General features: G+C 35.3%; 1 long non-coding RNA gene across 6 annotated transcripts, besides 1 other annotated feature; it reads left to right on the forward strand.

Moving 5' to 3' along the window:
* Window positions 1-1,734: 1,734 nt before the first annotated feature.
* Window positions 1,735-24,210, forward strand: LOC102724458 (uncharacterized). Of its 6 annotated transcripts, none has more exons than XR_941167.3 (6): window positions 1,735-1,810; window positions 3,481-3,599; window positions 6,151-6,206; window positions 13,681-13,755; window positions 16,716-16,732; window positions 23,806-24,210. It is a non-coding gene; the product is annotated as an uncharacterized LOC102724458 (long non-coding RNA). The 6 variants fall into 6 exon arrangements; XR_941163.2 differs by having other exon boundaries at window positions 1,739-1,810; window positions 6,151-6,218; XR_941166.2 differs by having other exon boundaries at window positions 1,761-1,810; window positions 3,484-3,599; window positions 6,151-6,218.
* Window positions 10,579-11,079: an enhancer, noted in NCBI's record as "H3K27ac hESC enhancer chr5:163145016-163145516 (GRCh37/hg19 assembly coordinates)". NCBI's record gives its function as "activates a minimal SCP1, AML or CMV promoter by ChIP-STARR-seq in primed H9 embryonic stem cells {active_cell/tissue: H9 hESC(primed)}" and the evidence as "EXISTENCE:reporter gene assay evidence [ECO:0000049][PMID:30033119]".
* Window positions 24,211-24,946: the final 736 nt, after the last annotated feature.

The raw sequence follows: 24,946 nt of genomic DNA on the forward strand, positions 1-24,946 counted from the left end.
AGCACCTATGTGTCTAATATCAAAGCGAAGGACAAGCTGGCTTATCCGTCTCTGAAGTTTTCAATCATTCTCCCTCTCTCTTTATGACATTTTCCCCAAGCTTTTTAGCAGGACTTGTCTTTGTGGTTACAGAAAACATGAACAGGTGAAAAGAAGGTAATGCATCACTTGCAGTCTTCCCACCTATAGCTAACCACTGATAAGCTTTGGTGTGTATTCTTTGTTCTTTGGTGCTGCATTCTAACACACACATAGAGAGGCACAAAATTGGATTAGATAGCATATTGACCTGTTGTTTATTTTTTAATTGGTCATATATTCTAAGCATCTGTCCTGGACAATAAATAGAGACCTATGTCATCATAGTCAATGGCTTTGATATAATCTCTTGGTTAGATAGGCTGTAATTCATTTCATCATGTTGTTAGAGGTTTAGAAACAAGTGTTTCTTACTTAATTGTTTACAGAGCCTTAAGTTAACTTCATTATTTGCATGAGTAATAGTAATACTAGAAAATAGTAATACTAGAAAAAGAAAATTGCTAGACTACTCTGTTATAAAATAATTCTCCTCTGTTTTGTGAGAACATGCAATGTTTGGTACTATCAGGGTACAAGTTTATAGGCTACGTAACAACTTTTCTGAGTATCAAATTTTCCTTACTTGCAATTTCACCAAAAAATTATTGAGAAATAACAGGTTGATCAAGAACTATTTTTAAGATAATGGCTTAAGGTGTGGATTTTTCTCTACCTGTATACTCATGAGGATAAATGATACCTGGGTACAAAGGAGAAACAAACTCAAAATATGAATCTAATGGCATCTGGCAGTGGAGTAAAGCAGAGCAGATCAAATTCTCTTTACAATCCACATTACATAGATATGAAAGGAGAAGAAACAATAACGGGTCACTCCATTTGTTCCACGGACCTGGGATATAATGTGAAACTTCCATCTGTGTTAATGAGTCATGCATGGCTGGCTCCCCAGGCAATATTTAGTAAATGAATAGTGTTATTGCCTGGCAGGGACCCTTTTAGAAAGTGCTGTTGTTGCGCGAACCTAAATATATATATATATATACATATATATATATATGTATATATTCCGGTTTAGCTAGGATTATGATGCATAAAATGTTGGTAATAGGTTTAAAAGATTAACATAGACCAGCTTTCCATGAGATTGTTCTTTATATAAAAAAGTTAAATGCTCTTTCTAATGTCATCATGAAAGTCAGGCTGGAGGATTATCGATTTTTTGGAGGCTTTTACTAGATAGCTTGATAATTGACTCTCTCAAGTTTTAACACTTGGTCCTGGGTTTGCTGTTTACCTTGCTGAAGCAATTTGGTGTAATTAATTTTTATAGCTGTGTTTGCTTTTAGGGTTTATACTTTGGTGGAAAGCTATCTCCAGTCAAAACCTCATAGAATTACTTTTTTCTTTGAATTAAAACATACAATTGTTTAAAATAAGAGTCTCATCTATAAAATTAAATAGAGAGTAAAATGTAAAATCTTTTAACATCTTTGCAACTACATCAGATAGACATGTCTGTGGATAAGGACTGAAAAGAAACAAAACTGGACGCAGTTAATGTGTTAGGTATTAGAATTGATCCATATTTTTAGTAAAGAATAAGTAAAAATAAGGGAAAAAGAGGCATGAGGTGAGTTGTCGTTGTTGTTGTTTGGCTGGTAACGTCAGTTTTGTCAGTTTGATTCGGTTGGGGCCGCAACTATAGCTTGGCTGCGGGCAGGGCCAGCCTCACAGGTTGCTGAGTTCCAGTAGGGTCTGGTCCCAGGTCTGATGAATCTCCACGTTTCCTCCTTGGCACTGGCCAACGTCTCTTCTAGGTCATCGGTGGTTTTCTCCAACTTTGCCACAGACCTTTCGACAAACTCTGCTCTGGTCTCAGCCTCCTTCAGTTTCTCCTCCAGCAGTTTCATCTCCTTTTCATATTTCTCTTCTTTGGTGGAATACTCCTCCTCTGAGGCCATCAGGGACTTGACGGTCTGGTCCATGGTTTGAAGTTTCTCCTCCAACTGTCTGGCTTGGCTCTCGGCCACCTTAGCTCAAAATTTTGTTAAAATTTTTTTCTTAAATATTTTTAAATTGATTTTTAATGTGATACAAGATGATTGCACAAAGTTAGAAATACAAAGTAAAAAGAGGAAAACAAGGAAAATTGATAATTCCTCCATTCAGATTCATCATGGTGTTAAATTGTTTTATTTCATTCATTCCAGTCTTTTTTTTTCCTTCAGTATGGGTACATGTTTATATATATTTTTGCTAGTATAATAGAATAATGTGATAAACCTTTGTGTATACACATTTTGTGTACAGTTCTGACTATTTCTTTAGGATCAACTTAAACCCTAAGTTTTAATACTCTGAAGGCTTAGAGTTACCTTGGGGCTTTGGGCTGGAGAGAGGGATTGGTGGTACTGAAGCTGTTGATTACAGGAGAAAAAGAACCGTGCTCTTGAAGTATTCCCTTCACCCCCACTTATAGTAATCCCTCCTGGCGTTGCAGAGATAGCATGGAATTGTTTCTGGCTAGATTATGATTCTGAGGACTCCGGGTTGATTTTTACAGTATGTAAGAAGAAAAAGTTAGAAAAGGTTTTTATGCATGTAAGTCACTCCTAAAAAGTTGTGTAGAAAAATGAAAGCTTATTTGAGATTATTATGTGCTATAAATATTCTGATCTATAAGTTCAATTTTTTTTTCCATTGGGGAAAATACAAATCAGAGTATCTTGAGTATTCTTTCTTTAAAAGAGAACATGGGTTCAATAATGGAGACTCACAAATGGAGGAATAAGAGAAATATGAAGTTTTGCTTTTGCAAACATACTGAAGTGGAAAATAGAAAAGCTGAAATCAACAATAACAACAACAAAAACGCCACATCCATTTGGACTAAAATACATGTATATATAACACAACTTTCCAAGCATAAAACGAAAACTCTCACCAAGGGAATGAAAAAAATACCTTTTGAAAAACTGCTGAAATAGGCCTATTGTTGAAATAGTTTTATTTCCCCTTTAGAAGGTCTATTTACTACAATTCTGGGAGTGAGAGGGATGATTTTGAATAAAGAATAGAGCCATTTAAGATGTTGTGCAGAGTACCAGAATTTATGAAGACTGGTTTGAATTAAAACTAAATGTCACCAGCAAGTAGGAGCCAACAGAAATGTACGTTTCATTTATTGTATTGGGAGCTAAGGAGGGCAGCAGGGATGAGCTTACATTTAACAGGACTCTCTTTTATATGGCACTAATTTTTATGTGGAGAACTTAGACCTTACAAAAGCATGTGTTTCTCTCAAATCTTCTTAGCTGTTCAGATTAATTCATTAATTGACAAGAGTTGACATCATACCTCCTACTTGGGTATAGTACAAGAGGAAAAAAATTAAAATATTTAATGCATTTATTCATTCAGCAAATTTGTATTCAGCAGCTGCTCTTTGCTGGGTGTCATTCCTGTCACTGTGAGGACACTGGCAAACCAAAGAGATTGGTCCTTGTCTTTGGGACTCCTAGAGTTGAGGACAGATAATGCATAGGAAGAATCAGGTGAGTTATCTTTCAACAATTAAAATGGAATGATTGGGGGATGCTGGGGGAACACTTCAGGTTGGGTGGTCAGGGAAGGCCACTGTGTCACACCTGAGAGCTCTCCAAGATGATTCCAGAAGTCCACCCCTTTCTCTTTTCAATTTATTGTATCTGTCTTTCCTCCTTCTGTGGCCTTTACCTTCTTGTAAAGCACTTACTATTATTATTTGCTTTGACGGAGGAACTGTAAAACTGAAATAAAGATGCAGTTAAAAAAAAAGAGCCTGAAATGCATTTTTTATAAATCAGAAGCTCAGGTGCACCATCCTTTTTTCAACTCCAAGAAAATCATAAATTATTTTATTAGAGGGAATTACCACAGCTCTAGATCTTAATGATTGCTGAACAGGAGGTTTTTTTCTTTTCTAAACATCAAGTTAGCTGCCAGTTTTAATTTTCTTTTGGAATTTACACATTAAAAACATTGTTTTAGCTGTTCAACAAAACTGTCTCTTATATCCAAGGGATGGTGCCAGAGTATGAAATGTGCATCTTGGTTTGATTTCTTCCCCTCCAGCCTGATTCACGAGTAAAAGCCAGCCTTGCATTTTATGACTGGAGGGCTAGTATTCAATACTAATAACTATGGAAAAAAAACAAATTCCAATTTTACTCTTTAATATCTTCATGCCCAGAAGTTTTCTATTCAGGCGTCTGAGAGTGGGTCGACCACATTTCCGGTATCTTTACTTGATGGTGCTGTGAGGTTCTTTCGCATAGATGATTAATGCAATAATTCTTGCACTTGGGATTTCAAAGACCAGTACAATGGCAAAAAAAAATTAACGCATATTTATTCAGTGTTTGTTATACGTCAGACACTGGTCTAGGGTATGGAGAAATGGCAGTGAACAACAACAAAAAGAAACTGGCAAAAATGATTGCCCTCTTGTAGAGTATATTCAAATAAGGGGGGGAGAAAGTAAATGTATAAACAAGTAATGCCTCATGGTGATAAGTACTCAGAAGAAAGATTGCAGAGAAGAGATAAAGGGATAAGCAAGGTGGAAGTGAGTCCTGCAATTTTAGACAGGAAAAAGACAAGCTTGGGAAGTTCTTCCTGAGTTGGTCACTTGTAAGGATAGATGGGAAGGGGGCTAGGCAGCAAGCCAATGTGAATGTCTAGGGAAGTTAGGAACTTCCCTAGTGCAAAGGCCCTGAGGCAAATGCTTGCCTAATTCCATCTAGGGCCAGTAGGGAGGCCAGTGTGGCTAGAGGGTGGGAAGAGGAAGGAAGAGTTGTAGGAGATGAGCTCAGAGATGAAGGGTGAGATCATGTAGGTTCTTATCAGCCCTTAGAAAGACTCTTTGGGTTTTGGTCAGAGTGAAGTGGAAAATCATTTCAGGATTGTGAGCACTAGAATGTCATGATTTGATTTTCTACAAATACACTAAAAGAGAGGAAAGGAAGAAGTAGAGAGACCAATTGGAGACTATTTCAGTAATCCAGGCAAGAGGAGATGGTGGGTTGGATCAGACTAGTAGCAGTAAAGGTGGTGAGAAGTCTGATTTTGGATACATTTTGAAGATAAACCAACACATTTTACTGCCAGTTTGGATGAGGGATGTAAGATAAACAGAATGGTTAACAATGAGTCCAAGGTTTTAGGCTGGAGCAAATGGAAGGATAGAGTTGCTATTTACAGAGAACAAGAGGATTGGGGGCTCTTTTAGGGGAAAGATCAGGAGCTTGATTTTGGACATACTCAATTTGAGGTGCTCATTATTACCAAAATGGAGACGATAAGCAGGATGCTGGGAATGAGTGGTCGAGATTGGAGGTATACATTTGGGAGCAGTCAGCACTAGTGTGCATGCTCTGCACTGATATGCACACTGGCTTCTACGTTGTTCTGTCTGTGACTTGCATAAAAATAGTCTTTGTGGCACCTTCAAATTGTAATCCAGTTCCAAGCCAGGTATCTCAGATTGTATCTCTGGCTTAATTCTGGATTGGGGGTGATTTGATTTATTTTTGTCAATATTCATTTTCCCCTCTGTTCAGTCACAACCATGCAGCTACTTATTATTCCTATTTCTTGAGGGGTGTGGGTAAAGGGTCTGATATTGATTTATAAGCCACAGCAAATTCAGCCCCTTTTGATACTCCTCTGAAAGGAGGCTCTCTTTGAGAAAGTTTTTGTTACCTTTCCAGTTAATCCATCTTAGAGTTGATTATAATTTTAAGCTTCATGATGCAATAATCTATAACATTTATATAGTGCCATTATCTCTTTCCAAGTACTTTATGAACATTTGTTAATTGCTTGCCGTATTACCCCACGAGGCAGGTAAAGTCCCATTTGCATTCATTGTAAGAGTTTCCTGACAGTGGGGATTTGAGCCGTGAAGTGACTGCCCATCAAACACCTGGCCAGTTAGGGATAGAGGGATCAATCAGCAAGTAATGATGATGGCTTCATCTTCATTAATTAATATTATTTTAGTACCTCCAGCATTCCCTCATAAAAGTCAGAACCCCAAATGAAAATGGTGTTTTCTTTCCCTAGAGACTGTAACGGATGCGATCAACTTGAACAGATGGGAGATATTAAGCACCAAGAGGGTGAATGAGGAGGTGGGCCCAAACTGCCTTCAACATTCTCATTATGAAAACAGAGAATTGTTACCCCAGAGGACTTTAAAGCAGTACTTAGTAACCTGGTAGAGTGAGAGTAGAAGCATTTGGCTGACTGGCTAAATACAAAACTTCATTTTTGCTTATAGTGTTAGAGATTTCAGGCAAAAAATGTTTTCTTTCATTTATTAAAATTCACTCATTGACTGATTTGTTGATACCTCCTATATGATAGGCACTTTATAGGCTCAAAGGCAGATAGCAATATATAAAAAAGACTAACATCTCTGCCTTCATGGAAATTTCTAGAGCGGGAATAATGATAATTAACATTTCAGTACTTACTATGTGCCAGACACTTTCTATCACTGCATTTAACAAATCATTTGATTACAACAAGAGTCTTATCATTATCAATATTTTACAGAGAAGAAAACTGAGATATAGAGAGAATAAATTACTTGCTCAAATGCATAGTTAATACATTATGGGGCTTTAGTCCAAAGATAACCACTATGCTTTAGTTTAGTTTTATTTTCTGCATGAAGTATTGTAGTTGAAGGAGATGATTAGTTTGAAGAATCCACCTTAGCTACATACAATGATAAATTTCAACATACTGATCTTAAATTCTTAGGAGCCAAAATGCATGCATGCAGAATTATGTCACAGGTCAAAGGAAAAAATTGGTCTTACATTGTTTTTCTCCAAGTTTTTGCCTTGAGCAAGTACAACTTGAGTATTCCATTCTCACATCTTCTCTTTCCTGTTCATCTATATTTAATGAAGATTGCTGGCTCTTTCAGATAAGTTTTATGTCTAGGATATTTGGAAATGATAATTCAGGGCTGGCCTTGAGCAAAATGGTAAAGTATGTTGAGTTAGGAATCTTAGATGCTCTCAGTTTCTCACCATTTTCCCACCCTCTTTTTACTCACTCACTTATACAACACCTTTTCTGTTCCTTTGTACAAATGAAATGAATAAAAATAGCTTAAATTTAACTCTCTCCCCAGTCAATTACTTTACTTTTATAGATTTTATAGATTTACTTTTTATGAAGAAATTTCATGCAAGCATTTAGAACCTGGGCAAGTCTTGGGAGGACTTCTCAAAATGCCTTTTTACTATTGGTGAAGAATGACACAGGGAAAAGAGCAGGAACTTTCAGGTTGGATAGAATTGAGTTTTACTTCTGACCCAATCCTTTACAAATTGTGGGGCACTGGAAAGAATAGTAAAATCATTGCAGTCTCATTTTCCCAATCTAACTAGGATTCAATAATTTCTAGTGTATGTGAATTGAGCTTCTCTGTGTCTAGTTACTTGATAGGTGCTTAATAAATAGTTGCTGTTTGTTAATGTTCATTCAACAGATGTTTGAATTCTTGTTATGTATGGGCTAGGTTCTGGGGAGATAAATTATGGTGCAATGCAAATACCATGAGTGCTAATGAAAAAGACAATAAAAATGGTCTTCATTCTGAGCCTCAAACAATAGAGTAGGTGTCCCCTCTTCCATCTCGTCTCCATTTTTTTCCTTTGCATTGATGAGAACAGTAATCACTAAAACACTTTTCTTTGTGTCTTTTATAATTCCCTGTTTTAGTAAGAATTGACTCTACTGATCATCTTGCCCCTTGTCTGTTCTAAGCTTCAAGAAATTGGCCATGAATATTGTTCCTTCTGTTCCTGTGGGTTCCTCATCACTGCTTTTCCCTGCTCTGTTCCTCTGTAAGATATGGAGCCTGGGCATTCTGAGTGCAGTTCCTACATTATTAATGTCTGCACTGCACTGCCTCCCTGAAATAGTGATGATCTGAATTAGGCTGTCTTGGGAATAAAGTAGAGGAGTGGATTCTAAACCTAAGTATAAATGGGAAGCAAAGGAGAGGAAGCTGTTTCACAGAGTTCAAACCTGCAAGGATGGCAGCACCATTAACCAAAACCATGAACACCTCCGATGTGTGAGGGAAAGGGTGATAGACCATGAAAAAGACTAGAATTTGGAAGGAAGATCTGGGCTGAGAAGGGAGATGAGGTATGTATCAGGTAGCCTTCTACATAGTGATGATATTTAATTTCATGAGGCTGGATTAACATACCAAGAATACCAAGGGGGTAGGTAGAGAAATACAAAGAGTAGAGAGGAGGATCAAGGTACTGCTGTGGGGAAACTCACATTTAGTGAAGGAGCAGCAAGAGGACCTGAGTTAGGTCAGACACCTAGGAAAATAATGGTCCTATGGGAAAAGGGAGTTCTGGAAGATAAATTGACAAGACTGTGAATGGTTACATATGGAATTAGAAGAATGAGAACTGAAAAATAGCTCTAGAATTTTTTGGTGAAGTGGCCATTAGAAATCTTCAAAGAAAGAGATGGGCATGGTAGTTTGAACAGATTACTGTGGAATAAGAGTGAGTGAGCAATCTAAGGAAAGGAGCTAAGTATGAGCTACTCTTTCAAGACTTGAATGGCGGAGAGAGGGAGGGAAGCAGAGAGACAGAAAGCCAAAGAAGACTTCAGAGTGATGGTACCTCAGGGTAGGTAGATTAGGAGACAACTTTAGGTGGAGGAAAAGGTTCCAGTAGACAGAGAGTAAATACAATCTTAAGTCTCTTCTTAGAGAAGAGTGGGCCCGGGCGTGGTGGCTCACGCCTGTAATCCCAGTACTTTGGGAGGCCAAGGGAGGTGGATCACCTGAGGTCAGGAGTTCGAGACCAGCCCGACCAACATGGTGAAACGCCATCTCTACTAAAAATACAAAAATTAGCCAGATGTGGTGGCATGCAACTGTAGTCCCAGCTACTTGGGAGACTGAGACAGGAGAATTGCTTGAACCTGGGAGGCGGAGGTTGCAGTGAGCTGAGGTCGTGCCACTGCACTCCAGATTGGGCAAAAGAGTGAGACTGTGTCTCAGAAAAAAAAAAAAAAAAAAAGAAGAAGAAGAGTGATAGTTCTTTGTTTTAGGACTAGTGAAAAGAAAATAGATTAGATATAGGATAATCTATTGAGGAGGATGAAGTAATGATAGAATTTAAGGAAAGAGTAAAAACTTAATATAGGCATTTTGTTATCTTTATAGTTGTTTCAGTTAGTTTTATTTTTGAACAATAATTATTCCAGATGAGAAGGATAGTAGTTATTTATATTGGAACACATCACCCATCTCACAGTTTTCATTAGTAATGCTTGTAGGCATATATGTACTTTAACATTAAACTTTTACCAGCTTAATTAATAACAGGACTATCAATGTAGAAATTTTTGACTTTACTTTTGAATTTTTCGTTATTATCATCTTGAGTATATAGAATTGCTTTTCGATTTTCTATTTCTATTCACACATTCATTTTAATTATATTTTATGATAAAGAATGGTGAAGGTTTTAAGAATTGAAATTATCTAAGGGATCATACAGTTTAAGCCACAGATTAATTTCAACTTATTAGCAGCCAGTAGTTTTGTGTCGGTTGTGTTTTACTGAAGACATGGCCTTCCTTAGAGTGATGGAATAATCCTATTTCCACAGCTCTGTCTCTAGAGAGACAGGTAGAGATCTGAGATTTTGGACAGCCCAGTTATTATTCATGTGGCTTCAGTATATTCTCACGTCACAGGGTATGCTAATATCTGTCTCATGCAGTTCTTGAAGCAAATATGAGAAATTATACTTTTTAAATCCTTTAAATAGTTAAAATGTACAAAGATTCATATTTAATGTTACTTACAGGCCTTGGAGAAACCCATTGGCTTATTTTGATGATCACTATTTTACAAGTTTTGAATTCTGTTAATTATAAGATGTGATGTATTAATTTAAAAATAAAAATTTTAGGCTGGGCGTGGCAGCTCATGCCTGTAGTCCCAGCACTTTGGGAGGCTGAGAAGGGCAGATCACTTGAGGTCAGGAGTTTGAGACCAGCCTGGCCAACATGGCAAAACCCTGTCTTTACTAAAAAATACAAAAATTAGCCTGGCATGGTGGCGCGTGCCTGTAATCCCAGCTACTTGGAAGGCTGAGGTAGGAGAATGGCTTGAACCCAGGAGGCGGAGGTTGCAGTGAGCCGATATCACGCCACTATATTCCAGCCTGGCCAACAGAGTGAGACTCCATCTCAAAATGAAAAAAAAAAAAAAGCAAACAAACAAAAAACAAACAAAAAACAAACACCAAAAAAAAACCCAAACAAAAAAAACAAACAACAAAAAAGATTTTAATTTTATTAATTTAGTATCCAATGTTTTTATTTAAGCACTCAACATAAGTTTAACATTCTGTGTTTACCATGTTACCCACTTCCAAGATAGATGATAAAAAGTGTTAGATTCAAAGACAAGTGTTTACAAATACCTACTATATGCCTAGCATTTTATGCAGTGTTTGGTGGTGTGGAATCTTATTTGAGAATAAAATTAAATATAAAATTGTCCTTTTTAAGACTGAATAAAGATGGCTAACTAGATGTAGCCAGGAGAAGCATCTGCCACTAAGGGAGCAGGGCATCAGGAAGACTGGCATACTCCAAGAAGATTATCGGAGGGAAGGCATTGAGAATGGATAAAGGGAGGACACAGATGCTTGGCTGAAGGGGGAGGAAGCTGGGAACCCTGGACAGGGCTACTGTGCCATGCACAGGGACTCATTCCTGGCCCAGTGACTCTTGGGGAAAGAGTAAGTTGAACAGGCAAGCAGTAACATGCTCTCACGACGGATCTCTGGAATCCTGGCAGCAGGAGACCCCACCACTCCCATGGACACTTGAGCTGGAAGGGAGAGCTTCTTAGAGGTAGTAAGGGCATGACTCCAGCGTCTGTGGAGCCCTGAGGGTTTGGTACAGGAATTTCTGCAATGGAGCATGGCCAGGAACGCCCATTCCTCAGGCTCATCATGCTTCCCTAGGAGACATTAGCCTTAAGGGAGCTGTTAGACTGGAACAGAGCAGGGTGATCTTGCTTGTGAGATCAGCCTATTCCAAACTGAGTGCACTCCTGTCTTCTGGCCTCTCTCGGGGCCCCAGCCTGGCTGAGCTTGTTTGTGGTGCAGCCCCAAATGCCCAGTTGGGCCACATCATAGCTCTTTTGCTGGTAGACTGTGCCTGATCATCAAAGAGCTCCAGTAGAGTAGCCCCCACTGACACACACCCTTCCTTATACCATATGCAAAAATAAACTCAAGATGGATTAAAGACTTGAATTCAAAACCTAAAATTATAAAAACCCTTCAAGATAACTTAGGAAATAACATTCTGGTCATAGGACCTGGCAAAGATTTAATGACGAAGCTGCCAAATACCATTGCAAGAAAAAGAAAACTTGACAAGTGGGACCTAATTAAATGAAAGAGCTTCTTCAGAGCAAAGGACACTATCAACAGAGTAAATAGACAAGCTACAGAATAGGAGAAAATATTTGCGCTCTATGCAATATCTGGAATTTATAAGGAACTTAAATTAACAAACAAAAAACCAACAACTCCCTTAAAAAGTGGTCAAAGGACATGAACAGACAAGTTTAGAAGGAAGACATACATGTACCCAACAAGCATATGGAAGAATGATCAACATCACTAATTATTAGAAAAATGCAAATGGAAACCACAATGTGATACTATAACATCTCATACCAGTCGGAATGGCTATTACTATAAAGTCAAAAAATAACAGATGCTGTTGATGTTGTAGAGAGAAAGTAATGCTTATACAGTGCTTCTGGGAATGTAATTTAGTTCAGTTATTGTGGCGAGCAGTTTAATGATTTTTCAAGGAACTCAAAACAGAATTACCACTTGTCCCACCAATCCCACTATTGGGTATATACCCAAAAGAATATTAATCATTCTACCATAAAGACACATGCCTATATATGTTCATCGCAACACTATTTACAATAGCAAAGCCATAGAATCAACCTAAATGTCCATCAATAGTAGACTGGATAAAGAAAGTGTGGTACGTATACACCATGGAATACTGTGTAGCCATAAAAAAGAAAAAAATCATATTTTTTTGCAGCAACATGGATGGAGCTGGAGGCTATTATCCTAAGTGAACAAACACAGGAACAGAAAACCAAATACTGCATGTTCTCACTTATAAGTGGCAGCTAAACCTTGAATCCACATGGACCCAAAGAAAGGAACAACAGACACCATAGCCTACTTGGAGGTGGAGGGTGGGAGGAGAGTGAGGATCAAAAACCTACCTACTGGGTACTATAATTATTACCTGGGTGATGAAATAATCTGTACACCAAACCACCATGACATACAATTTACCCATATAACAAACCTGCACATGTACCGCTGAACCTAACATAAATGTTAAAAAGTTATACATAAAATTGCCCAAATGCAAATATCTATTACTCATATCTATACTGTATGGTTGAAGAACAGGGAAAATCATTATGCATTGTTGTAGTTTGAGACAACTCCATTACAAAGGAGGCTCAAGATAGATTCTGATGATGGGGAGAATTTGAGGTAAGTGAAAAGGTGAATAGGCAGTTTCAACTAGCACCAGCCTATAGTATTTCATTTTAGCTTATAATCATAAATTGTTTATAGCAATTTCTGTCTGTACACTTAGACACGGGTATAAAAATCTCAAACATCTTAAATTTTAATCATTAGGTGTCATAGCAACGTCAGCACTCAAACACAGGACTCTGCACACAGACAAGTTCATAGCTGGTAAAGTGTTGGAAAGTTCAGGGGGAGACAACTCTCATTAGATGTGATAGGGAGCCAACTTCTGCCATCGTTTTGGGGAAATGATGCAGGAAAGTTCCTTTTATTTCTTCAAATAGTAAAAAATGCTTATGTATCACTGAGGGGCTACAATGAACTATTTACTTATTTTCAGTAAAAACAAACAAATGATCAATTGATTGGACAAAGCTCCTGAATAATAAAAAAGCTTTATTAGAAGGTTTAATTTACACATAGTATTAACCCATTTATGCCTGCGGTTGCAATTTTTTGAATTTTTTGCAATCAGACCTTGGCGATGATCTTAAACAGTAGGATGTAAATAACTCCCACATTCTTAGCATTCCAATAATGGAACACTAGGCATAAATATTAAGGGCCAGGGCATGAATCCAGTGGGAGAGAAACAAATTTCCCCACAGTGTGTTGTTTCCAGAAGAGGGAGGGACACTAGGAACACAGAGCAGCAAACATCCGCCCTTATATAGTTGAAGTCTGTGTCCATTGTAGTATCTGATATTCCCGTACGTAATACTGTAAGTGGAAAATTTCCCTGAGTTTGGTACTTGTAAAAATGCTTTGCTTTGAGAATTGAGTCATAGTATGCCCAAATCTAACAGCATTGTCTGTTGGATTAATGAAAGTACAGGAAGGCTGCTTTGACAGCTCACTATTGCAATAGAACCCAGGTGCTTTATGTCTTTTTCCCTCCTCCATTCTCTCTATAATTCTCCTGTTCCCTCTCTAGGTTTCTTACTTCCTGGTCACAAAATGGCTGCCGAAGTCCATAAGCTAAATCCTAATGTGAGTGAACATGATCAAGGTAGGAAACAGAAGATCTGTCAGGGTTACAAAAGGGACAGATTTTAGGTTCTTTTATCTTTTTGTAAGGCACAAAAAATCCCAGGAAAACTCCAGCAGATTTGTTTTATTTAAAAATTCGGTATCATTGAGGTATAATTTATAGTAACATTCACCAAGATTAAGGATGCAAATTAAGCTTTCACCAATGTATACAGTCATGCAACCCATACCACAATAATTCAGAAAGTCAAGATAGAGTACCATTTCTTTAACCGACTATCTTAAAAATTCTTCTGTCCATAATGATATTTGTATAGAGCTGATCCTTAGATCTTAATGAAAGCTGACATTTCAATAATAGCTAATCTTTATTAAGTGCTTTCTGTGTGCTAGTCACTACACTAATGTTTGCCACACTTTACCTCCTTTATTATTTTTGAAGTTTGATCATGTTTGGACTTGATATTTATCAATATATAATAGTTGCACATATTTTTGAGGTACATGTGATATTTCGATACATGTTTATAATATGTAATGATTGTATCAGGGTAATTGAGATAATCATCACCTGAAACCTGTATCTTTTATTTGTGCTAGGAACATTCATTCTTTTCTTCTAGCTATTTTGAAATATACAATAAGTTATTATTAATTATAATCTCTCTAATATCAAATATTAGAACTTATTCCTTCTATCTAATAGTATTTTTGTATCCATTAACCAACTTCTCTTCATTCCCCACTCCTCCTTTCCTTCCCAGCCTTTGGTAACCATCAATCCACTCTTTTTTAAATTTTTAAAACAGCAGCATAGAATAGGTTTTATTAACAGGGCTGTCACTAGTATATATGGTGTATTTGTGTGAAATAGCAAAGGGTAGCCCCTCTGCTTGGATGCAGGAGACAAGGCTGTCTAAGTAGACCAGGGATGGAGTTTGGCTTTCTCTTTCCTCCTAGACATCTTTGTGGAGTACATAAAATTTTGGATGAGAAAGCCTACTCAACTGTTCCCGTTTTATAATACAAAAACTTCAACTTTAGAGGAGTGAATCAGCCCATTCTAGTTTATGCAGCATGGGGCGTATCTTGGCTTTTGATGATGGGATTTTATTCACTGGTATCATTGTTAAGTCTATGGAGAAATGTCCTTGGCTAAACAATTCCTTGAATTTCTTTGTAAGATTTTGCCTCCTTCTTATTCAGTATTTACCAACTCTTACATATTTATTCAGGCTTATCTCTTTCCTCATTGATTTAATAGCATGAAATCATTTTCTCAGTTATAACACTATTAACTATTATTGCAATTACTATTTGTTCATAGAACCTCATATAATTTTATCTTTTTAGTGGAAATTAGATATAGCTGATAATATTACAATAATTTTAAATTGACTAGTTACTAGCATTTCATGTAAATTTGTTTGCATTGAGACACGTGAAAAGCTCTTATGTATTAAGTTTCCTATTTTTGATAAAATTATTCTTGCTAAAAAACTCAAACCTCTTTGAATATACATGTATTTTCTTTTATTAGTCATAGATAGTTATTAGGTTTTAATGAAATTGCTTGATGATGCCATAACATAAAATGAAAAATCTGGTCAAACATTATATGCCTGGAACAATTTTTATATAATTTTATGATTTTAAAGCTGTCATGGATAGTCCCAGGGGAAATATCTTTGGGAATTGCAAAACAATTGTGTTTGAAATGAATTGTTTAGAGTTGGTTAGTCTACACTGGATTTTCAAATATAAATTGTACTGGAATTTTCTTCTTTTTCTTGAGGTTGAGAGAAAGTAAATTAAAATTAGATGTTCATTTCTTGCTATTTAAGTCCATGGTTTACCCATCTTGCCTACTGAAAAATAGGTATAATTAGATCTCTTGCATAATTTACTCACTATTCTATAAAAAGCAGTGTACAGATTATTGAGAAACTAGAAATGATGGCAGAAAAGTCTCCCGATTAGAAAATGATCGATTAATTTGTTGCAGTTGATAAAATATTAGTGTCTATATTCAGATTCTAGGACTATAAAGCAAATAACTTCACCTGTAGCATGTATTGTGACTTAAAATCAAAGAGGCTGTCAATTACTTTGAGGCACACTCCTTTTTGGGGTAAACTTATTTTACTGTTTTTTTCTGTTTTGTGTTTGTTTCTCAGCAACAATATTTCTCCTTGAAATTTCACAGCAGATCTCTTAAGCAAAAGAAGATTTTTTTTTTTAACTACACTTTTATGTTTGGGACAGCACATTACTCTAGAGCTGTAGATCTTAAAGTGTGGCTTTTCTTTCAACTTTCAGTAGCATTAGCATCACCAAGGATCTTGTTAGAAATGCCAGTCCTAGGGGACCATCCCAGAGCTGTCCGATCAGAAACTGGGATGGGCCCAGGAATCTGTGTTTCAATAAATCCTTCCAGGGGATGATGATGCATGCAAAAGTTCGAGAACTACTGTTCTAAAGGAACTTAATACATCCAAATTAACTATGTTGCTATTAATTATTTGCAATATTTTAGCCTGGGTAGAATTGCTAAGTCACAGGATATGAACATATTCAACAATACCAGGTAATGCTAAATAGTTTTATAAGTACCTGTTCCAATTTAGAGTTCTACCAGTAGTAAATAAAAATCTTACTGTCTTATCCCTAACTGTGTCAGACATTTTAATTTTTATAGATCTGGTGGGTGTGAAATGGTATCAAGTTATGGTTTGAATTTGAATCTACTTAATGACTTTTAGCATCTTTTCATGTATTTATATGTTTGTTGGTCAGTTACATTTATTTACACTTAAGTAAATTGCTTATTTTTATCTTATCAGTTCTCAATTGGGTTTTCTTTTTTGATTCATAGGAGTTTTAAAAATATTCTGGATACTAATCCTTTGTCATTTTGTGTTTCATATCTTTTCCCTGGTTATGATTTTGACTATCACTTTTCCTGATGTATCATTGAAGAAGTTCACAATTTTAAGGTAGTCAAATCTATTTGTCTTAATTTTGTTCCTATGATTTGTTTAAAAACTTACTCTTTATGCAGAAAACAGAACTATTCTCTGATTTTTTTTTCTAGAAGGTGTTTAAGGCTTTGTCTTTAACATTTAAGTTTTTATTATACATAAGTATCACATATGTACCTATATATAAAATTATATATGTATACACACATTTTACTGAGGTTTAATTCACATATAATAAAATACATACCTATTTAAAGTGTATAGTTTGGGTTTTGACAAATGCATACACTCGTAACCACTACCACAAGCAAGAGGTCGAATATTTGCATCACCTCAAAAAGCTCCCTTTACAGTCTGTTGCTCCCAAGTCACCTGGCCCCAACCAACCACTTATCTGTTGAATAACCAGAGATTAGTTTTGTCTTTTATAAGAATTTCATATAAACGGAAACTTACAGTGTGTATTATTTTGCATCTGGCTTCTTTCACTCAGCATAATGTAAATGAGATTTATCCATGTTGTTGTATGTAGCAGTAGCTGTTTCCTTCTTACTTTCTATTTGCTGAGTCTCATTCTATTCTATTGTGGGATAGTCCATAATTTGTGCATCTATTTACCCATTAATAAACTGTTGCAGTTTTTTTTAAATTATTTTGAAAAAAGTTGTCATGAATATTTGTATTCAAGTTGTTGTATGAGCATATGTTTATATATCTTGAAAAAACAGCCAGGAATAATAAGTTAATATTTAACTTTATAAAAAACTACCAAAATATTTCAAAAGTAGTCCTATTTTGTATTCCACCAGCCATGTATGAGAATTCAAGTTTCTTCACATTCTCTCCCACACTTGGTATTGATAGTCATTAATTTTAGGCATTTGAATGTGTGTTTAGTAATATCTCATTGTGGCTTCTGTTTGCAGGAAATTGGTTTTTGTGATGTATGGGAGGGATTCAATTTCATTCTTTTTTTTCATCTGATCAACCAATTGTCTCAGTACCATTTAGTATATAATACAAAATTCCTCATCGATATGCAATGATAGTTCTATCATATCCTGAGATGATACTAAAACTGTAAAAACTGCTATGAAAATGGGCACTCTACTTTTTATAGAGCTTGGAGTAAAATGTAAAAGTTTAACAGGCATATTTAATTTCATGCTTTAAGTTAATCAATATTTTAATAAGCTTCCTTTAGAAATTAGAATGCTTGTTAGTAAAGTCATCACTTATTCAACCCTAACTTATTCTCTTCTTGCTCAGTGTCTTATCTATTTTTTTCTCTTTTAAAAAATTCTTAGCCTTGAAGCTTTAGATGTGTTTTTTAAAAATCCTATATTTTATCTATAATTTTCAGTGGTCTATACTTCATCTGTACTCCAGATATGTGGTTAACAATATTGCTGGCTGTGAACGTCCTCTTCGTTTTAAGATTTATTCTTCCTCTGAGTAAAAGAGAAGTAGGTGTCCTAGAGAGAGAATTTGAAAAATATGGAAAAAATGAAAGTATGAAGGTGAAAACTAAAAATCACCTGTAATCTTTCCTCCCAGACATAATCATAATCTGCATTTTTAGTTTCCATTTGTTTATCAAAATTAGACATACAAATGTTAAAGAAAAAGTAATTTGGAATCATTTAGTGTTCAAGGTTAGTCTTTAGCACTTTCTCCTTCTCAATTATATCTTTAGTGTACGCTTTAACATTCTTTAAGTATGTAGTTTGTGCTAGAAGCATTATTAAGACTTTTGCATTTGACTACTGTTAAATTGTAAAATTAAAACCTAATGAAAAGTATTTACAGAATTGTGACTGTATATTTGGAAATTTTAATATAAATAAAATTATTTTAAGACATAAGGCCAATAATAAAATATATGTAGCTATAGTCACAATTGGGAAAATATGTTGTAAAATACATGATTTGCAATATTATTTGAGTTAAGAACTATGTTTGGTCTATTTCTGAGTCAAGAATGTTAAATTGTGCTAATGTTTAGTTTTATATCACATTTTTTAGTAGAAACCCTATAGTGCAGTAAATAGTGTAAATTGAATTAATTTGTTTTTATGTTTCCATGACAAAATTTATACTTTCATCTTCAAAGTAGATGCTTCAAATTTATTTTCTAATATTTAAATTCCCTAGTTAAGAGTGGAGACAAGAAGATTTAAAATGTCTAATCTCTTAGGGTTTAGAAATACAAGCAATTATTGTGTGTGTTGGATTTATTACTTTTGTAGATTAAAATCAATGGGATTTTTGCAATTAATGACAAAATTGCATATAATGGTCTTTTGGTATTAATAGACTTAGTAAGCCATCTGTAGCAGTTTTCAATTCTCAACATAATTGCATAGAGTAGTTTGTTTTCCAAGGAAAAATCTCTAGACAAACTATGCCTCATTTTACTTCTATTTTAAGCTAATCCCCTGACTGAATCTTAGATGTATGAGTTACTCTTCTTTGAAGATTTGGGAGTTTGCAGAAGTGTGGAGATAATAAAATCATGATTTGATAAGTTGCATACTGTTCAGGGATGGCAGGTTCTTCCTATACCAATGTCAGTGTTTTATTGTTTCTGTATGTGTGTGGGTGGGGTAGGGGAAAGGTGAAAATAACATTCTCTCCTTCCATTTGGGTGCACAAGTTTATCATTTAGACTTAAGAATGTGTCATCTATCTAGAAATCAGTTGGATGAAATGGAATCTGTGAACTCACATTTAGTTATGTGACACAGATGGTCATTTTTCTCCTAACATGTCAATGTGTGCCTGTGAATGAAATCCAAAGACCCTTTTGTTTTTCCTAGTGTGAACTTCAGGTACAAGAGTTGAGTTGTTCTTACTCAATTCATAGTAATCTCATTGTTATATTTTGGTTGTTTGACTCTCCAAATCTCGTTGAAATTTAATCCCTAATGTCAGATGTGGGGCCTAATAGGAGGTGATTGGGTCACGGGTGCAGATCCCTCATGAAAGTCTTGGTGCTGTCTTCGCTGCAGTGAGTGAGTTCTTGCTCTATTGGTTCCCAGAGAGCTGGTTGTTAAAAAGAGCCTGGCACCTCCCTCCTCTCTCTTACTTCCTCTCTTGCCATGTGATTTCTGCACAGACCTGCTCGCTTTCATTTTCCCTGAGTGGAAAAGCCTGAAGCTTTCATGAGATGCCCAGTCTTCTGGCCAGCAGAATTGTGAGCCAAAATGGACTGTTTTTCTTTATAAATTACCCAGTCCCAGGTATTTCTGCACAGCAACACAAACTGAATTAAGACACTTATCATTGCTTTACCTTTTATCTTCTACGGTGTTTTCTTTCTTTTATCTTCTACCCTGATTCTAACCTATATATAGGCATCATCTTCATTGAATTTAACATATAACATACCATGTTATATGTTGTTCATATGTTCATTTAGGTATATGTCTGTAACAAACATGCTGCTTTATTTTGGGGTGTCTTCAGTTTATGTAGATGATTTTATGCTACAAAATACACTCCTAATATTTTCTCTCAACATTAAAAATATTTATTATTAAATATTATTTGTTATTTTATGTTTCCATTATATGTATTTATTACATTTTACTTACCCATTCATTTAGTGATCAAAACCTTGTAGGCCTCCAGCATCTTGGTATGAGAAAAAATGCTTTAACTATCATCTTCATATGTGGCTCACTCTTTAAGGACGATTGTTGAGTGCTGGGATGTTCTCACACTCAATGTTCTTCCACCAGTAGTTCACGAGGCTTTCAGTAGTTGATGCTATCTGACCTTTTACATTTTGCCATTCTAATAATGTATGTAAAGTGGCATCTCCTTTTAATTCGCATTTCTCTGATTACTAATAAGGCTAAACATCATATTCTTATAAACCATTTAAGGTTTTCATTTTTGTAAATTGCCTATTCATAGCCTTGCTCATTTTACTTATAGATTTCCATTTTTTTCTTGATGATTTATGAGAATTCCTTTTATATTTTTGTACTTATTCCCTTGACTGTCTTAAACATTGTGAATGTCTTCCATTAGTCTGTCATTCATATTTTGTTTATGACATGCTTCACTGAACATGAATCTTTCATGAAATTTGATTGCATTAAAATTAATTTTTCCCTTTATAGTATCTATTTTGACTATTTTAAAAACTGATTTCCTAATCTACCCCCAAGGTCTCAAATATATTCTTTTGTATTTTTTCTTTAGCTTTATAGTTTTGTATATACTGTGTTTTTCCATTTATATACAGAATTTACTTCATAATGCATCTTATTCCTACTGATTTATGATGCCTCTTTATTACAAAACTAATATATTGTTTCCCACTGGCTTAATAGTCTATTCTTGCACCAATTACTACCTATTTATTGATCCATCTCTATCTATTCATCTATCCATCTGTCTATTCTATCAACTATCTTTAATTGTTTGGCTTCGTAATATCTGCTAAAGCAAGTTATTCATTTTCTTTTTCTAAACTGTCCTGCTGACTGATTCTGTGTTCTTACTTATAATTGTGGGAAGAGCCTATGAAATTGCAAATTTTACTCAATTCTGTTTTTGGAATGACATGATATAAATAGAGTAGTCTGAGTGACAATTGATGTGTTTTAACCATTTAATGGTTTCATCCTTGAACATAGCATAACTTTCTACTCAGTTTTAAAAATCTTTAATAGAGTTATTTTTTCCTGCACTTGTTAGGAAGACATTTTATTTATTTGTTTTTCAACTTTTGAGTTCAGGGGTACATGTGCAGGTTTGTTATATAGGTACACTTGTGTTATGGGCGTTAGTTGTATAAATTATTTCATCACCCAGGTGTTAAGCCTAGTACCCATTAATTATTTTTCCTGATCCTCTCCCTCTTCCCTCTCTCCACCCTCCTATAGGCCCCAGTGTGTGTTGTTCCCCTCTATATGTCCATGTTTTCTTATCATTAAGTTCCCATTTATAAGTGAGAACATGTGGCATTTGGTTTTCTATTCCTGCATTAGTTTGCTGAGGATAACGGTTCCACCCATGTCTGTGCAAGGACATGATCTCATTCTTTTTTATGGCTGCATAATATTCCATGGTGTATATGTACCACATTTCTTTACTCAGTCTAACATTGATGGGCATTCCATATCTTTGCTATTGTGAATAGTGTTGCAATGAACATATGCATGCCTGTGTCTTTATAATAGAAAAATTTATATTCTGTTGGGTATATATCTTGTAATAGGATTGCTAGGTCAAATGATAGCTCTGTTTTTCAGTCTTTGAGGAATCACTACACTGAAGAAAACATTTTATTTAGGGTGATTCCTAGATATTTATTTGATATTTTGCTGTGGCAGTGACTAGTATTTTGTTTTCTATTATATAATTTAGTTAGTTGTATTGGTAAAGATATGTCTATGGATATTCTTATTAATAGTTTACTTACAAGATTTCATAAACTTATTAGTAAAAGTATCTACTTTCTTCAATGTTCTAGGTAAGAAATAATATAATCTAAAAATTACAATTTCACCTTCTTCAAAATCTTCATACTTCTAACCTATTTTCTTTGTTTTGTGGCATTAATCAAGTCTTCTAGTACTACATTAAATAGTGGTGGTATTTCTGATATTGTACTATTGATTATGTATTTGCTGTAGAATTTTGGGCAGATATTTATCAAGTTAGGAGAGCCTTCTATTGTTTCAGTTTTTCTCAGTTTTTTTGTTGCTTTGTTTTGTTATTTGGTTTTCTTTAAATAATCCTGTAAAGTATTGAGATTTTTCAGATGCCTCCCTGCATCCATTGGAATGATCATATATTTTTTCTGCTTTAGACCATTAATATGGGGCATTATGACGACTAGATTTTCTTATGTTACAGTTGCTACATTCCTGGGATAAAATCTGTTTGACTGTGATACAGACATTTTAATATAGCATTAGAACAGTAAATGTATATCTTATTTAGGATTTTGGGATCTATGTTCACATACTAAAATGATCCTATAATGTCATTTTCTTATATCCAGGCTTTGGTTTGAGGTTAATAATTAGCTTTGTTATATGATCAGGAAGCTTACATTCTTTTTCTACTTACTAGAATTTTTTGAATAAGATAGAGATCATCATTGTCTTCATAGCATCTGATAATGAACCTAGGGTTGATTCACAGGGAAGTTATTGACAGCTTTATGTCTATCACAATGTGATAGACACACACAGTGGTAAATACATAACAACCACCTTTCCAGGGTTTGTGTTGGGGGTGGGGAGTAGGGAAAATTCCTGATTTAAGTGTTTTCCGGTTTTTGTAGTGTAAATATTGCTACTACGCCCTATTTCAAGCTATCAATGTGAGTCGCTGAATGTGAAGTTGCAGAGATATGCACCGTCAGCTCCTGTGACCTGGCACAGGCTGGCTCCAGCCAACCACCTGTCTGTCAACACAGAGACTATGGCAACCTCTAGAGAGGAGTGGCAGCTCCTTCACTTTCACCTTCCTCGTCTTTAGCACATTCCTTTTTTGGCCAGCTCTAACTCAGAAGAGGGTTCTAGGAATCTTATTTCTGGTTTAACAAGTTATTTTTGGCTTCATGGAGAACAAACTGCCATTATTAGTATTTTTAATTTATTTGGTGGTTATTGCCCTCATCAGCTTTACTATTTGGACATTTTACATGTTTCCAAACATGTACCCTTTTCATCTAGGTTTCAAATTTGCTGGCATATAGTTTTCCACAGCATTTTTATATTTTTAATACTTACTAAAATTATTTACCCACTTTAATTATAATATATACATTTTAAATTCTTTTTCTTGATATGTCTTGCCAAAAGTTTGCAGTTGTATTAAAATACTTTTCATTTAATCATCTCTATTTTACTGATTTCTATCCTTATCTCTATTTTCCTTCTTTCATTTCCATTACATTTTTCTTGTTTTGATTTTTGCTCCTTTAACCTGTTTATAATATCCCTTTTTGTTCATTATGATGTTTCTCTCCCAAAAGTTTGTGTTACCTGATATCAATTTGTTTCCCTGACTTTATTTAGCATTATAGTTACTTGGTATATCTGATTTATTCCTTTTGACAGGATTCATGACTACAACCCCAAAATACGGCACTTCTGCCTGTGTGGAAACAACAGAAGCAGGAAGATTACTCTCATTTTTCTCTGGCCTTTTTCCCTTGAAGCAGACTATAAAGAAGAATCTGACCTTCCTCTGAAGGAAACCTTCATTCCAGACATACCCTCCCTATATCCAAAGAACATCTTTATCTTTAAAGACACAGAGATGTCAAGAAGAATCTGAACAAACAGGCTTTGCCAGATCCCCCAGTTTACTAATATTGAACCATACTCTTTTGTTCTTCAATCATACTTCTGCATGATGTCCATAAAAATACACAGTTTTCCCCATTCCTTTTGGGTATTTATTCCCGAAAGCTTCTGTGTCATGTAAAACTTACATTAAATAAATTTGTATGCTTTTCCTTGTGTGCTTTTCCCTTGTGTCTTTTGTTATGAGGGTTTTGGCCATGCTCTTAGCGATGGGTGAACAAAGAAATCTTCTTTTCTCCCTTATACTTTATTTTCTTTTTATAAGAATTCATTTACATTTATTATGAGTTTCCGTAAGTTTGGATTTATTTCTACAACTTCATTTGACAATTGAATCTGTCATTTGTTCAAACATTATAAGGATTTGAAGACACTTCAACATATACTGCTCACTCCCAACTAATATATTCTTGTTATCAAATATTTTACTACTGTTTTTTTCTAACCATGCAAATTAGATGACTTCATAATCATCATCACTATATCCCAGAGTAAATTTTTATCCACATTTATCATTTCTTTTTGTTCAATATTCCTTCTTGCATTTTAGACCTTTCTTCAGCAATAGTTTCCCTACTTCTTGATGTATATTTTTTCAAATAACTTTAATGAGTATATGTTGGTTGTAAAGTTTTTGTCTAAAAAATGTTTATTTGGGCTGGGCATGGTGGCTCACACCTGTAATCCCAGCACTTTGGGAGGCTGAAGTGGGTGGATAACGAGGTCAAGAGATAGAGACCATCCTGGCCAACATGGTGAAACCCTGCTCTACCAAAAATACAAAAATTAGCTGGGCGTGGTGGCGGGTGCCTGTAGTTCCAGCTACCAGGGAGGCTGAGGCAGGAGAATTGCTTGAACTCGGGAGGCGGAGGTTGCAGTGAGCTGAGATCCC

Source organism: Homo sapiens, chromosome 5 (genome assembly GCF_000001405.40).
Source record: "Homo sapiens chromosome 5, GRCh38.p14 Primary Assembly".
In the NCBI taxonomy this organism is placed as follows: Eukaryota; Metazoa; Chordata; class Mammalia; order Primates; family Hominidae; genus Homo; species Homo sapiens.